Raw genomic sequence first — 14,977 nt, 5'->3', positions numbered from 1 at the left:
GTGGGTGGATCATTTGAGGCCAGGAGTTGGAAACCAGCCTAACCAACAAGGTGAAACCCCATTTCTACTAAAAATACAAAAATTAGCCAGGCACAGTGGTGCACGCCTGTGGTCCCAGCTGCTTGGGAGGCTGAGGCAGGAGAATCACTTGAACCCAGGAGGCGGAGGTTGCAGCAAGCCGAGATGGTGCCACTGCACTGCAGCCTGGGTGACAGCAAGCCTCTGTCTCAAAAAATAAATAAATATATAAATAAATGGACAAATAAATGACAAAAATGAAAGAATCCCTACAAACTTCTACCAGTGATGATGGGTTTTCTGCAGTATTTGTTCATTCATTGAATCTTATAGTACTGAGTCCTTGCCAGGCACCAGGCACTATTCTACGTACTGATCAAAGCCCGCCCTGGCCCTCCATCTAATGGCTTCTCCTCTGTGGGGAGACAGCAGTGAGTCTCAAACAGGCCGCCCAGCAGGCTCACCTGGGAAAACATCTCTAATGTGCACCCATATTCCAGAGATTCTGATTTCATCATGTGGGGTGGGGCTGGGCATTGGGAGTTTCAAAAGCTCAGGTGAGGATAATGAGCTGCCAGGGGGAGCACTACTGGGACCAAGACAGAAAAAAACACGACCATTTCAGAGAGTGAAGAAGGCTGTGAAGAACGCAAAACAGAGGGTGTGATTTAGTCCACGGGTTCTCCATGGGGGAAGAGGAGATTGGGACCGTTTCGTCCCCGAGGGCACATTTGACAAAATCTGGAGACAGTTTCGGTTGTCACAGCTGGAGGAGAGGTGCTGCTGGCATGGAGTTGGCAGAGGCCAGGGATGCCGCCAAATACCCTATGATGCACAGGACAGCCCTTCACGAAAGAATGATCCAGGCCAGAACGGGCTGAGATAGAGTAATCCTGGTCTAGAGATGGGGCAGGGTGTGCTTCAGAGAAGGCGTCTTGGTGGAGATGACAGGAGACCTGATACCGAAGAGGCAAGACATGGCCTCCACCAGTGAAAGCCTGCAGGAGGAGCAACGGGGAGTGGCACCTCTGAGGCGGGGCCGGGGCCACCATCACGGTCCTTAACGAAAAGGCACCACATAGTGACACTGCCAAGCCTGGCTCACACCACTACTACCTCAGTGGGGGCTGTTTTTTAGGGGTAGAGTGGGGAGAGGGAGGGAGAAATCTGGCTGCGTTTGCTTTGCTGCTTTCACTTGAGTCCCCACCCTCGTTCCAGGCTCAGAATAGGAACAGGGGATGGGGAGGGAGTTTCAATTCAGGTTGACCACTCAGACCACGCCACCAACACCACCTGTAGGGGCACTTCTTCCTTATTTCCAAAGACATCTCGTGCTGCCGCCCGCTGGTCCCCTAGAGCGCTAACTGGGGGCGGGGTGGGGTGGGGTGGGAGTGGGGGCAGTGGGATGCAGGGGAGCATTCTCGGGTGACAGCCTGTCAGCCTCCTCTGGCCCTGGAAAAAGTGACTTCCCAAGAGAAACAGGGATGCCCAGAGCAGTAAATAAACACAGTATCCCAGAGAAGCGTGGAAGGGCAGCCCCCTGCCAGCCTTGCCCCCATGACGGACACAACCCATTCACTTTACCAGCCAGGCGTTGGGACCCAGAACACATCTCCTGCCCTGCTCCTCTGCCCCCTTTCTCTTTCCCTTTCCTGAACCTTCCCTGTAAATCAGTTGCAGACCCACTGCCTTGGTATCCCCTAGCTTGGACTAGCAGGGGCCATGCAGGCAGCCTGCTTGCTCAACACCATGCGGGCTTTCCACGGAAACGTCATGACAGTTCTGTGGGGGCAATCTGGGTGGAAAGGCAAGTCCTTACATACAAGGTCCAGAAAGGCCTGAATCAACAGGCTATACAAGGGAGCTAGGGCAGCCACGGGCCTCTGACAGCAACAGGTCTTACCTGCAGGAACCCTGCTACCTGGGGATGGGCAGAGTGAACCCAGCTGCAGACTGCTGAGAAGAAAAGTGACTTGAAGCCGGGCATGGTGGCTCACGCCTCTAACCCCCGCACTTTGGGAGGCCGAGGTGGGTGGATCACTGGAGGCCAGGAGTTCGAGACCAGCTTGGCCAATATGGTGAAAACCCATTTCTATTAAAAAAATAAAAATTAGCTGGGGTGGTGGTACACACCTGTAATCCCAGCTACTCGGGAGGCTGAGGCAGGAAAATCGCTGGAACCGGGGAGGTGGAGGCTGTAGTGAGCTGAGATTGTGCCACTGCACTCCAGCGTGGATGACAGAGTCAGACTCTGTCAAAAAAGAAAAAAGATGACTCCAGGAACTGTACAGCCACCTCCACTTTCTAAGTGGGGAAACTGAGGCCAGAGAGGGGATAAATGACCCACCCAAAGTCAGCAGCCGTGGGTGGCTGGGCAGGGTGATCCCAGGTCTCCTGACCCCTGTCTGCATATGGAATTTCTCTCAGGCCTCATACTTATTCCAGAATCGTAGAAAAGTTCCAAGTCAACGCATCCAAACAGAAAGCCAGAGTGTCCGGAACTGGCAGTCATCTTCCTCCAGATGTGCGTTTAGGGCAAGGGAGGATATTACGAAACGTCTCTGCCTCTTTAATCTCTTTTTGTTTTGGAGATGAGGTCTCACTCTGTGGCCTGGGCTGGAGCTGCAGCGGTGCAATCATGGTTCACTGCAGCCTTTACCTCCCAGGCTCAAGTGATCCTCCCACCTCAGCCTCCCAAGTAGCTGGGACCATATGTGTGTGCTACCAAGCCTGGCAATTTTTTTTTTTTTTTTTGTAGAGATGGCATTTCACTATGTTGCCCAGGCTAGTCTCAAACTGCTGGGCACTCAAGCAGTCCCTCCACCTCGGCCTCCCAAAATGCTGAGATTACAGATGTAAGCCACCGTGTCGGGCCCCTTAATCTCTTGACTCATCTTCTGAAAGGAAAACATCTCCCTGTTTATAAGGTCCTCAGATATAAGCCCCATGTCAAAATCCTGTTCGTGAGGACAGTTGTCAAGTCCTAACTTATGAAACTCCATGTCACAGAAAGAGTCATTATGGGAAATTTGCAGGAATATGTTTACTTAAGTAATTATTTTATTAAAATGATAATTTGCCCAATATGCCCTGAGAATTTTATTACAGATACTTATAATGAAGTAGGTAATTAGCAACAAATGGTCTCTTTCTGTGAACCTAGAATTACGAATTTTTTCATGGGTTGTTATTTTGAACCGCCAAACACTACAGAAAATGTATAGCCTCTTCACTCATTGAAAGCCTTGATTTGCAGAGTTGAGTATCTGCAACTTGGAACTTACAAAACTGATCACCAGCTTTCATGCACCTTTTATGCTGTTAAAGTTATACACAAACACCTATACACTGTCAAGCAAAAGGCTAACAAATATTTAACTTTTGAGCTGTGCTGTGTTTTGGCTCTGTGTGTTTGTATGTTTTTGTGCACGCGCACCTGTCTACACAAGCCATAACTCCAGTTGTAGGTTCTGTTTTGACAACTCTTTCAGGCAAGCTCCCCCACATGGTTTTGAAAGAGGAAAAACGTTCTCAGTTCTTTAGCTTCTGCTTCTGCATCCTCTCTCTCTCTCTCTCTCTCTGCCCCCCGCCTTGGGAAAATACATGGCTTTTCAGTGACCACAGCTATTCTCATGATTAAATCAAGCACTCACTGTTAACCTGAATTTAGGGTTACTGATAACACATGTTGCAAAGATGTTTCATCAGTTGCCAGGACAAATTCCCAATGTGCCAAGTCTCTAAGTGCTTGCATCCTGGATAAGTGTCACTGTGGGTCCATCAACACTGCCTGGCTCAGAAATTCCACAGATATTTATTGAGCACCTACTCTGCACAAGGGGTGGCCGCTACAGCTCGGGGGCTCCACTATGCTGTCCAGGACACAGATACTCCCTTCCAGTCTTTGCAGAAGCCAGGGTTTGCAGGCACCGCACCAGCTTCCTTGCCGGGGCGCCTCACAGCAGAAACACTAGGGACAACCATTACTCTGACTATAGCTACTACGTGAACCCAGGACAGGGGAAGAGGGCAGGATGGGATGCGGGCTGGGATGAAAGGGACATAATGGTGACTGGTGTCTTCTGCCATCAAGACCATCTGAACTGCAGGACAAGCTGACTCCTGCTGTACCAGATGAGCTAGGAGGGAGCAAAAAGCATTTTCTTCTCTCAAAAATAAATTTAGGCCAGGCGCGGTGGCTCACGCCTATAATCCTAGCACTTTGGGAGGCTGAGGCAGGCAGATCACTTGAGGTCAGGAGTCTGAGACCAGCCTGACCAACATGTGAAACCCAGTCTCTACTAAAAATACAAAATCAGCCGGGTGTGGTGGCACATGCCTGTAATCCCAGCTACTCGGGAGGCTGAGGCAGGAGAATCGTTTGGGAGGTGGAGGTTGCAGTGAGCTAAGGTCACACCACTGCCCTCCAGCCTGGGCAACAAGAGTGAAACTCCATCTCAAAAAAAAAGAAAAGCAAAAAGAAAAAGAAAAGAAAAGCAAATGTAAATGTAAATGCCCATTACTCCTACAAAGCAAAGGCTGAGGGCTGAGAGTCAGGTGGACAGGACTCTCCTCGAGAATCTGGGGAAAAAGGATGCTTCCTGGACATCAGGATGCTGCCAGGTCACCTAGCCCAGGAGCTCCTCAGTCACAGAGGCTGAGCCCTCAGCCTTCCTCCATGGATTATCAGCAGGCTAAGAGCTAAAACCAAGTCCTCTATGCCATGGAGATAATCAAGTCACAGTATTATTTTCTGGGAACAAAATTCCAGATTTAAAACATAAGCTAAAAAAGAAAGTTGAAGTTCACCAAAAAGATATTTAATAGACGACTTCTCTGGATTCTTATCTCCCCCATTTTCATTTCACCAATTTTGAATGATTAGCTTTGTCAGAGAACTTTGGATGAAATTCTAATACTAAAAAACAAACAAAAAAAAAAATTGTGGCGCACAAGCCAAAAACAAAGGGTGTTAGCCCAGGTTCCATGGCTACTTAGCATTTGATCTTGTATGTGTCATTTTCTTTCTCTGTGACGGAGGAAAGAGCTGCCACTGCCTAACCCACTTCCCTCAAACCTTGCAGCTGCGTGGGGAGATGAGGCTTGGCTGACTCTCTTGCCCTGCACACCATAGGTGGTGATCAGGATCAAAAGAAGAGGCTTATGATCAAAAGGGCTGGGAGTGGTGAAACATTCTGTCATGCTCGCTCCTTCATGTAAGTGTAAAGGAGGGGGCAGTGCTGTTTGTGTCACGGGTATGGTTTGTTGTTCTGGAGCGAGCTTTAACATGGGCACATTTTAAAGTAGCAGAGGAATCCTGGGCAATTCACAGCCTAGAGAGGGCCTCCATTGCCTCTCTTATAAAGCCCCAGGGGATTGGACTAGGTGATTCAAATGTTGGCTTTCACAGTGGTTGGCTGACTGTTCAACACAGGAACTAGTGCAAAATTGGTAACTAACAAATGCTTGGATGGTTAATCACAGGGTCAGTTGGTTGAAGAGAGTCCTTACTTTTCTTTCTTTCTTTTTTTTTTTTTTGAGACAGTCTCGCTCTCGCTCTGTCCCCAGGCTGGAGTGCAGTGGCACCATCTCAGCTCACTGCAACCTCCACTCACTGCAACCTCTGCCTCCTGGGTTCAAGTGATTCTCCTGCCACAGCCTCCCGAGTAGCTGGGACTAGAGGTGCATACTACCACGCCCAGCTAATTTTTGTATTTTTAGTAGAGACAAGTTTGGCCAGGATGGTCTTGAACTCTTGACCTCCAGTGATCTGTCGGCCTCACCCTCCCAAAGTGCTGAGATTACAAGTGTGAGCCACCGTGCTCAGCCGGGTCCTTACTTTTTGAGCTGAGTCCATCTGCCCCATGCAATGTATTCAGAGCCAAAATTCCAACGCACCACCATTCCCTGGCAGGATGTGAGATCAACATTCTGCAGCTACCTTTAAATGATATTTTTAAAAATCAGGGAACTTCAATGGAGAATAAACAAGTCTAAACTGAACCCACTCTCTCCCTCAGCACTGTAGGGTCCCTCCTGATCAGCATGGTGCCTGACACATAGTAGGGGCTCGAATATTTCCTGCAAGAATGAACAAAGTGTCCAGCATCCCTAACACTTCTGATATTCCTCGAATGCATAGGCGTAGCAGAATATCCAGAAAGCTTTCAAGAGCTGGCATTTTCTGTATCCCCCAACATACTCCCACCCTCCAGTGCTGGGTTTAGAATCAGCTAGACCGGTCTGGCTCTGCCCCTTCCTCGCTGCGTTGCTTCACCTCTCTGAGCCTCAGTTTCCTTTTCTATTCCATACAGATAATCAGGACTCTCTGAGGAAGAGAACAACAGGGACGCCCTCCCGGAGGAGTTGGGTGGAGTATACAGATTAATTAATCTGTGCAGTTCTGAGAATCGGCCTGGCACGCTGAACCCTCCTGGTAACTGTCAGCCATTAGCGTGACTATTGTTATGCTCAGTATCATTAGTGCTGGCAGTAATTAGAGGCTCATTAAATGTTAATTTTCTTTACGCCAGACTGGATGCTCAATGTAAAACCAAATTGTAATGGTATCCTACAAAATGTAAGAAAGGCAAATAGGCTGCAAAAGAAATTTTTTTTTTGAATGTCTGGGTGGCCGTTCAGAGTCCAGGACTGCTCCTCCACATCCTGTTGGGAGGGACAATTGAGCGTGGTCCTTAGCGTCAAAGACGGCGCTGACTAAGTGTCAGGAAGCTTCTGTTCAGGTCTGGACTTTGCCCCGAAACTTTGTCGGCCTGGATTCAGGAATCCTGTTCAAGGTAAAAGGGAAATTGGTTGCCTTGCTGAGCGGAAGAGAAAAGGCACAATGCTTGCTGAAGCAGCACAGCCAGCCCAGGGTTCTCTGTGCAGAAACAGGCACTACTGGCCCGACGGTCATGTGCTTCCCCCACAGTCTCCAGGCTCCTTGCGGCTTTGCGAGGTTGTGTGAGCAGAAGTGGCAACTTTAGAAAGTGGGTACATACCCCTTTCCTTTTCTCTTCCTCTCCTCCAGCAGCCTGAAAGCCAGTTGTTTCAAATGAAGTGGCTACAAAATTTTAGCAGCGTGGATCCCCAAGTCACAGCTTGGAGGAAAGCTGCCTTACAGAGCTGTAGTCCTTCAGTGGACTTCATGAAAGGAAGAAATAAACTCTGCCTTATGAAGCCACTGGGATATTGGGGTTTACCTGTCACTGTATCATAGCTTAGCCTAACCTGATTACTCACATATCTCATCCAATGCCTATCCCAGAGGTTTCCTGCACCTGAAGGAAACCAAAATACTTTTCTCCAAACTATTGAGGATCGTTAAGTGAAAGACATTGACAATGCCAAGGAACCCCCTGGCCGGCCTGCATCTGCCTGATGGGAGGACACAAATCTTTCCTTACTGGAGACAGCACGGACTTAGGAGACCAAAGGAGGCACCAGCAGGCACCCGAGGAATCTGGGAACAGATTTTACTGTCTTCCCACATTTTCCCGCTTTTTCAAAGACTGGAACTGCTCTCTTCTTTGTCTTGTCACTATATAGGATTTATGGCCCTTTGTTAAAATACTATTTAAGCAAGGTCCCTAAGCCACCACCTTGAGAAAGAAATACTTTTAAACTAAGGCCTCTCCCATGTGATGGGCAGAGCACGCATTAATAAACGTTTGGTTGTTTGTCTTCTGTTAATCTGACTTTTATTTTCAGGACAGCGTTTCCACAAAGAACCTAAAAAGGGAAAAAAAGGAAACTAGATTTTCTCCCCTACACACAGTTGTTACAGAATGGTCTGCTATTCTATTACTTAAGCATGGGCATGTGCACACACAAATATCAGACTGGAATCCCAAGCCCATTTTCCTATTACACAAGATGGCACACTAAGATAAATCTTAGTAAGTACTAAGTAAGTACTTAGCACACTAAGTAAATCTTAATAATCCCACCATCCCACTGGTGACAAAACTGCAAGAGGACAGTGTCTTGAGGATGAGAGGCTGTGTTAGTGACAAGACGTGCCTCCAAAGGGAAAGGTAAAAGATGCTGCTGTTACTAGTTCCCGTTGTGTGGTCTCTCATAAGCAAAATCTTAAACTCTAGTGGGGAAGACAGGGCCAGTGTCTACATATCCTACTTGCTAAGGATTTAATCTTTTTTTTTTTTTTTTGAGATGGAGTCTCGCTCCATTGTGCAGGCTGGAGTGCAGTGGTATGATCTCAGCTCACTGCAGCCTCTGCCTCCTGGGTTCAAGCGATTCTCCTGCCTCAGCCTCCCAAGTAGCTGGCATTACAGGCGCCTGCCACCATGCCCAGCTAATTTTTGTATTTTTTGTAGAGACAGGGTTTCATCATGTTGGCCACGCTGGTCCCGAACTCCTGACCTCAGGTGATCTGCCTCCTCCGGCCTCCCAAAGTGCTGGGATTACAGGCGTGAGCCATCGCGCCTGGCCTTAACACAGAATCTTTATGTCCTTTACATAACAGTCCAGCACTGTGACAGGGCAAGTATATGGGATCAGATGTCACTCAGACCTGGCTTCAAATCCCAGCCTTGCCTTTTACTGTGTAACTCAGGCAAGTTAATTTCTTTGAAGCCTTAATTTCCTCATATGTAAAATGAGTATAAAAATTTCTACCAATGGGGGTAGTTGGGATTAAATAATATAAAACAAGGTATAGTATACAACATGCTTGGTTCAATGGCTGACACTTAACACATTTACATCCTGCCTTCCTACCACCATTAAATAGCATTTGATCTCAAGTTCAGACTCTATTAAAAAAAAAAAGTTTACTATTGGAAGTACCAGAAAGATCCTGCAAGGACAGTTGTGATATTGCTCTATGTGCCACAAAGGAAGGTGGAGATGGTGCTCCCAAGAGGAAACAAGGGATAAGGCCAGGCCCAAGGGAGGAAGTGGACCCAGCTTGCGCCCAGAGGCCAGATGTCCAGACAAGGGAGCAGGGCTAGGCCAGGGAGGCAGGCAGGTTGGCCAAGATAGGCCAAAAGCACCTGAACTTGGGACAAAGCTGGCCTGGGATAGACACTGCCTTGACTGCTTCCTGTTACAAAATAGTCCAGTGACAGTCCTTCCAGGCTGTGGCAATGACCTGCCACCAGGGGCAGCAGCGAGCAGCAACTCATTCTGCACCTGTGCCAACCCAGGAGCATAGAACTTCCTATAGGCTGTAGTGACAGAGCCACTTCCTCATTCATATAACCATCCAGTCATTCCACAGACATTAATTTTGAGCCTATGAAGTGGGCCAGCCCTGTGCTGGTGCTGGGAACACGGAGACAAACAGGAAGATTTCCCTTGGGGTGGAGAAGTGGCTCATAGTATTTCAGGGATGCAGATGTACAAACAGATCAAAATCCACCAGCTTAGATTTCTAACAGGTTATTTCCATGGTACACTGGCCTGTTAGAGAAGAGAACAAATATCTCCAGAGTAGAAAAAAGTAGGTTTTGCTAAGCTTGGGGATAGTCTTTCTGGGAAGAAGGAACTACAGGAGTCTTTCTTAAGAGAAAGAATGAAAGGGGAGAGAGGACAGTGCATTTGGGGTTCAGGGGTCAGTCTGATATGACTGAAGTGTGGGGTATGTGGAAGAGGTGGAAGGCTTTAGAGCAAAACATGCCTGGTGGGTAGAGCTCAGCTCTCAAAGAGCCACCATGTCAGGGTCAGGAATTTGGACTTGATCCTATGGGTCAGAAATTACAACTGGCAGTCTGTAGTGGACTGGAGAGTCCATTAAAAAATCTAAATATCTTTAGACTGGAGATATGCTCTCTAGTCTGACCCACTCCCACTGCTTCCTACTATTCTACCCTTGACCCCTTCACTCTTTTATGCTACCTGCAAAGCTCTTGAAAGCATTTGGGTTTCTGACCCCTAGGAAAGCAGTGACCAGGAGAGGTTTTTAGGCGGTTAGTGAAACATGAACAAATTTGGTATTTTAGAACCTCAGTGGCATGGAGGAGGGGAGAGATTGGTGACAGATGACACAACATGTATTCCTTCCAATAAGACTTCTTCCTTCCCTCTTGTTAGAAAAAAAAAAAAGATGGAAAAAAAAGTCAACTCTGGAAGAGTTTCCATTCACTTTTGTGCAGTTAGGACCAACATGAAGTCACACTCCTATTTCAACACACCCAGACTCTCTTTTCTTGAATTCTATGTATCAATATAACAACTATTAATTGAGCAACCACCCAGTGAAAGCTGGGTACTCAGGTGCTCAGGTGGCAGGGGGTTGGGGTAGAGAGCTGAGAATCAAAGCATAAAGCTCCAGGTTCAGCAAACTCAAGGACTCATCATGGCACCAACCCACATGTACGATGACTGGTGGATAGCATAAGACAAAAGGTATCTCCCAACAGAGGACCCTATAGCACAGATGGCCCACACTCAGGGTGTGCCAGCAGGTGGGTGCCAAGACATGGTGTGTGCACAGGGCTGGGGAGAGTGGCAGTAGGAGGTCTGATGCCATTGGTCCCATGGCCCTGCCAGCAAGCAGTCTTTCCCAGAGGCAGGGCCCCCCAAGCTTCTGCGATTAAGAGGGGTGAGTCCATTTGAGCCATGTGCGGAATCTACGTAGGCTTTGACCAAACTGGAAAGAAGGCTCTCATCATTTCTATCATTTTTGTAACCAACACATCTGTTATTCATCTAGAATTCTCAAAATTGATTTCCCAAATCTCCTATGACAGATCAGTTAGTGCTCCCTTCCCTGAACTGAACCCTTGAAGACCAGCAGACAAAGCTGGTTACAAAAAAGGCCATGATAGGGCCCCTACTTGGCTCACTATGGCTGCCCCAAGTATCATCCAGCAGGTGTTTTCTCATGTATGGGGAGCACGGCAATGCACTCTGGCTTTGGAGATAACAGAGCCAGGCATGGAGTGTCTACAGCCCAGAGAAGAACCCCTAAGCTCAACTGGAGCCAGTGCTGGGCTCTGTGGCTGGGACTTATGATGCCCAGGTCAGGATCAGTGGGGCTGAAGAGGGCCTGGATGTCCAGTTTCCTTCATCCCAGGCCACTTCCTGGTCCCTGGGTGATGGCCTCTCCTTTCATAGCTGTCCCTCAACCTATAGGGACTTAGAGGTATCCTCACAGGAGGTAAGGTCAGACATATGCCAATGACAACATGACACCAGCCAGAACTTCTAGGGCATGCCTAGGTGCCAGGCACTGTGCTAAATGCTTCACAGGTATGATCCCCTGTAATTCTCACAGCAACCCTGTGAGCAGCGATTCAGGCTCTGCAAGTCCAGCCAGGCTAACTGTGGGGACTGCAGATGCATGGGTTCTCCAGCCACACTGAGTACCTCCAGGGAAGGGGCAGCGGTATGGCCATCTCTGTGTTCACCCCCACAACAGTGAGCACAGTGCCCTATACACTAGGAGCTGGGTGGTGGCAGGGCCTGGACCGGGGTGAGGTACGCTGCGAATCAGGTACCCAGGAAGCAAAATTTAAGGACACACTCTCGGGTGCCACCCTGCACTTGTAGGAACCTGAGAGTGGGTGTCACCTTAAATTTTGCACGCTGGGTACCTCATTTGCTTTCCTCTAGTCCTGGCCCTGGGTAGTCCAATGACCAGGCATGTGTGTGTGTCTTGCTCCTCCTCCCTAGCCATGGGACCCTCCCTTCTCTGTGCCTCAGTTCCCCCACCTGTAAAATGGGACTAATGACAATACCAAGGGTGGACAGAGATGCAGCAAAATCAGAACTCTCTCATACTCTGCTGATGGGAACATAAAAATGATGCATCCACTTTGGGGAACTGTTTGGCAGTTTCTCAAAAAGTTAAACATAGAGTTACTATACAACCCAGCAATTCCACTCCTGGGTATCTACCCGAGAGAAATGAAAACACATCTCTAAACAAAGACTTGTATACGAATGTTCACAGCAGCAGCATCATAATCACCATAAAGCAGAAACAACCCGATTGTCTATCAACTGATGAATGGCTAACAAAATGTGGTATATCCACACAACAGGATATAAAAGGAAACAAAATACTAATACATGCTACAACGCGGATGAACCTCAAAAGGGAAAGAAGAGAAGCCAGACAAAAGACCACATGGTGTATGATTTCACCTATATAAAATGTGCAGAAAAGGCAAACCTACAGAGACAGCAAGTAGATTAGTGGCTGTGTAGGGCTTGGGCTAAGGTGGGCGGGGAGTGGAAGAAGGGAATGGAGAGTAACTGCTAATGGGTACACAGGATCTCTTTCTGGGGTGATAAAAATGTTCTAAAGTCACATTGTGGTAATGGTTGCATAATTTTGTAAATACACTAAAAGTCAATAAATTGTACACTTAAAGTGGGTGACACTTGGGTATGTAAGTTATATCTCCATAATGCTATTTTAGAAAATAGGGCTAATGATAATACCTATGGCACAGCATTGCACAATGCCTGAGAGTATCCTATACATCATCTTTTTTTTTTTTTTTATGAGATGGAGTCTCACTCTGTTGCCCAGGCTGGAGTGCAGTGGCATGATCTCGGCTCATTGCAACCTCCACCTCCCAGGTTCAAGCAATTCTCCTGCCTCAGCCTCCCAAGTAGCTGGGATTAGAGGCATGTGCCACCACGCCCAGCTAATTTTTGTATTTTTGGTAGAGACGGGGTTTCACCACATTGGTCAGGCTGGTCTTGAACTCTTGACCTCAGGTGATCTACCGGCCTCGGCCTCCCAAAGTGCTAGGATTACAGGCGTGAGCCACCGCACCCGGCCCCTATACATCATCTTCACACTTATTATTATGATCAGATAAGTATCTGTTGCTCACTTAAAGGACTTAAAGGTTGTCTAAATTCCCTTGAAGTGCCTTTATTTTTAGGGGGACTTTGGGGAACTAAAGTGGGCAGTCACCCGAGATCCTGTGTCTCTAAGTGACCTGCCCGTGCCCAGGCAGGGCTCCCAATCAGCTACTTGGGCTGCAGCGGCTGCTGCAGGCACCAGCCTGACGTGGGTGAAACTCTTCAAGTCTTGGATTCCAAAGATCTGTGTCGAGTTCTGGCTCTGACCTTCATATTATCTACTCTGTAGGGTTGCTGTGCAAATGACATGGGCTACGGTGTGAGGATATTTGGAGCATCCAATAAATTGGGGAAAATCGTGGGTGAGGAAGACCGTAGGCAGAGGAAGACCCTGAATGCACACCCATCCTTGCTGTTATCCTCCGTGCTGGATTGTGGCTCAGCCACAGGTTCTAATCCATGGAGGAGGGGCCACAGCCCTTTTGCTGGAGCCACAGGTGCATGGAGGGCAGGAGGGGTTAAATGTGCCCAGGCTTGATGAACATCAGTGTGGCACAAGCCTGCCTGGCTTCCAGAATTCTTGGATAAAGGACTTCCCCACTTTGTACTTTCTTGTCTGTTAAATGGGGATAACAGAATCACAACATCGGGATAGGCATGGTGGCTCATGCCTGTAATCCCAGCACTTTGTGAGGCTGAGATGGGAGGATCGCTTGAGGTCAGGAGCTCGAGACCAGCCTGGCCAACATGGTGAAACCCCGTCTCTACTAAAAATACAAAAATTAGCCAGGCATGGTGGCGTGCACCTGTAGTCCCAGCTACTCGGGAGACTGAGGCAGGAGAATTGCTTGAACCCAGGAGGCGGAGGTTGCAATGAGCTGAGATCACGCCATTGCACTCCAGCCTGGGCAACAGAGTGAGACTCCATCTCAAAAATAACAACAACAACAAAAAACAAAACAGAATCCCAACCTCTCTTAGGATTGTCCGAGCACACCCACAAAAGGCATGTAGATTTGTGCCTGTGATGTCAGTGAGGGCTAGCATGACAATGGGCAGCAGATGTTGTAGCTAAGTGCCAATGACTATGACCTTCCTGAAGGCAGGAGTATTGTTTTCTTCCTCTGGCAGGTGCTCAGTGAGTGCTGACTGGAAAGAGGAATCAAAGCGGGGAGGGAAGGTGCTGTGATGAGCTGGCTAGCTGGCCGAGGAAACAAAAGGGCCTTAGTTAGACTGTAGAGAAGAAGAAAAATAATACATGGCCATAGGACTGTATAACCTTGGGCCAATTATCTTACCTTTCCGGGCCTCAGTTTCCTCAAGCTGGGCTATTTGATCCCTAAATTTTTTTTCAGCTAGAGCATTCCTGGATCCTACCAATGTACCATGTTGCTACTAGACTCATCCTCTCAAAATCTTCTTTCAGTGATTCCAGAGGACATTATATATCCTGTACCAGGAAATCCATAAATCCTATTCTAAAAGTGCCAAAGTCAGGCACTGTCCAAGTTCACACTCTCGAATGCAAGTTCTCCGTTCTTTGGAATGTTTACCATTAACTGTGAAGTGATCAAGACCGTTTCCGTTCTGTGGCTCTTTCTGCCCAAGAGCCCTGGTTCTTGGAAACAACGTGAAGTCTTCGGGCTCTCCTGGACTATGGGTCTCTGGCAGAAATTCACCACATACTCAGAATCAATTCTCTAACACAAAGTTCCCCAGAAGAAAGTAACAGGCAGTTCTACAAGATAATGAAATCGCAGAGTTCTCTATTAGGAGAGCTTAGAGGAGAGCTGGCGCTTCAATCCTCTCCTGCCTGGAACCCATCTTTTCCCCTTAATGTCTTGGCCAGAGGGCAGTCTCTTTCTCCAGCTTCTATCTGTCAGTTCACATCCCTGCATTATCTACCTCTTTACCTCCCCTACACAAAAGCAAAGGCACACCCCATCACCGCCAGTGCTGGCCTCCTGGCCTCCTGGCCTCTCCCTACTCCCTCCGGACCACCACTGCCACAAAAAACTTCACCATGACATCCAGCTCTGACCAGGCTGTGTGCAAATATCTTAATCTATCTTCAAAAAGACAGGGTGCCATGCAAATGAAAATAAGTTCTAAACTTCCTCCTCCACAGGCTATGGAGATCCCTGGGGGGTTCTGGGTACACCCAGGGGCTGGTGGG

At 48.1% G+C, this 14,977-nt stretch overlaps 1 protein-coding gene across 18 annotated transcripts in view, besides 8 other annotated features; it reads right to left on the bottom strand.

Annotated features, from left to right (window-relative positions):
- The window catches only part of ZHX2 (zinc fingers and homeoboxes 2), a 194,132-nt gene that overhangs the window by 170,153 nt on the left and 9,002 nt on the right, over positions 1-14,977 (bottom strand). The gene's annotated exons all lie outside the window — the stretch shown is intronic.
- Positions 447-1,404: an enhancer, noted in NCBI's record as "H3K4me1 hESC enhancer chr8:123815193-123816150 (GRCh37/hg19 assembly coordinates)". NCBI's record gives its function as "activates a minimal SCP1, AML or CMV promoter by ChIP-STARR-seq in primed H9 embryonic stem cells {active_cell/tissue: H9 hESC(primed)}" and the evidence as "EXISTENCE:reporter gene assay evidence [ECO:0000049][PMID:30033119]".
- Positions 1,405-2,364: an enhancer, noted in NCBI's record as "H3K4me1 hESC enhancer chr8:123814233-123815192 (GRCh37/hg19 assembly coordinates)". NCBI's record gives its function as "activates a minimal SCP1, AML or CMV promoter by ChIP-STARR-seq in primed H9 embryonic stem cells {active_cell/tissue: H9 hESC(primed)}" and the evidence as "EXISTENCE:reporter gene assay evidence [ECO:0000049][PMID:30033119]".
- Positions 3,419-3,568: a silencer, noted in NCBI's record as "silent region_19490". NCBI's record gives its function as "represses an Ori minimal core promoter by ATAC-STARR-seq in GM12878 lymphoblastoid cells {active_cell/tissue: GM12878}" and the evidence as "EXISTENCE:reporter gene assay evidence [ECO:0000049][PMID:35858748]".
- Positions 5,998-7,197: an enhancer, noted in NCBI's record as "BRD4-independent group 4 enhancer chr8:123809400-123810599 (GRCh37/hg19 assembly coordinates)". NCBI's record gives its function as "activates an origin of replication core promoter dependent on BRD2, P300/CBP, MED14 and CDK7 cofactors, and independent of BRD4, by STARR-seq in HCT116 cells {active_cell/tissue: HCT116}" and the evidence as "EXISTENCE:reporter gene assay evidence [ECO:0000049][PMID:35650434]".
- Positions 7,028-7,117: an enhancer, noted in NCBI's record as "active region_27858". NCBI's record gives its function as "activates an Ori minimal core promoter by ATAC-STARR-seq in GM12878 lymphoblastoid cells {active_cell/tissue: GM12878}" and the evidence as "EXISTENCE:reporter gene assay evidence [ECO:0000049][PMID:35858748]".
- Positions 8,878-8,997: an enhancer, noted in NCBI's record as "active region_27857". NCBI's record gives its function as "activates an Ori minimal core promoter by ATAC-STARR-seq in GM12878 lymphoblastoid cells {active_cell/tissue: GM12878}" and the evidence as "EXISTENCE:reporter gene assay evidence [ECO:0000049][PMID:35858748]".
- Positions 9,088-9,187: a silencer, noted in NCBI's record as "silent region_19489". NCBI's record gives its function as "represses an Ori minimal core promoter by ATAC-STARR-seq in GM12878 lymphoblastoid cells {active_cell/tissue: GM12878}" and the evidence as "EXISTENCE:reporter gene assay evidence [ECO:0000049][PMID:35858748]".
- Positions 9,308-9,427: an enhancer, noted in NCBI's record as "active region_27856". NCBI's record gives its function as "activates an Ori minimal core promoter by ATAC-STARR-seq in GM12878 lymphoblastoid cells {active_cell/tissue: GM12878}" and the evidence as "EXISTENCE:reporter gene assay evidence [ECO:0000049][PMID:35858748]".

Source organism: Homo sapiens, chromosome 8 (genome assembly GCF_000001405.40).
Source record: "Homo sapiens chromosome 8, GRCh38.p14 Primary Assembly".
NCBI lineage: Eukaryota > Metazoa > Chordata > Mammalia > Primates > Hominidae > Homo > Homo sapiens.
This window is presented reverse-complemented; position numbering and strand designations above follow the sequence as displayed.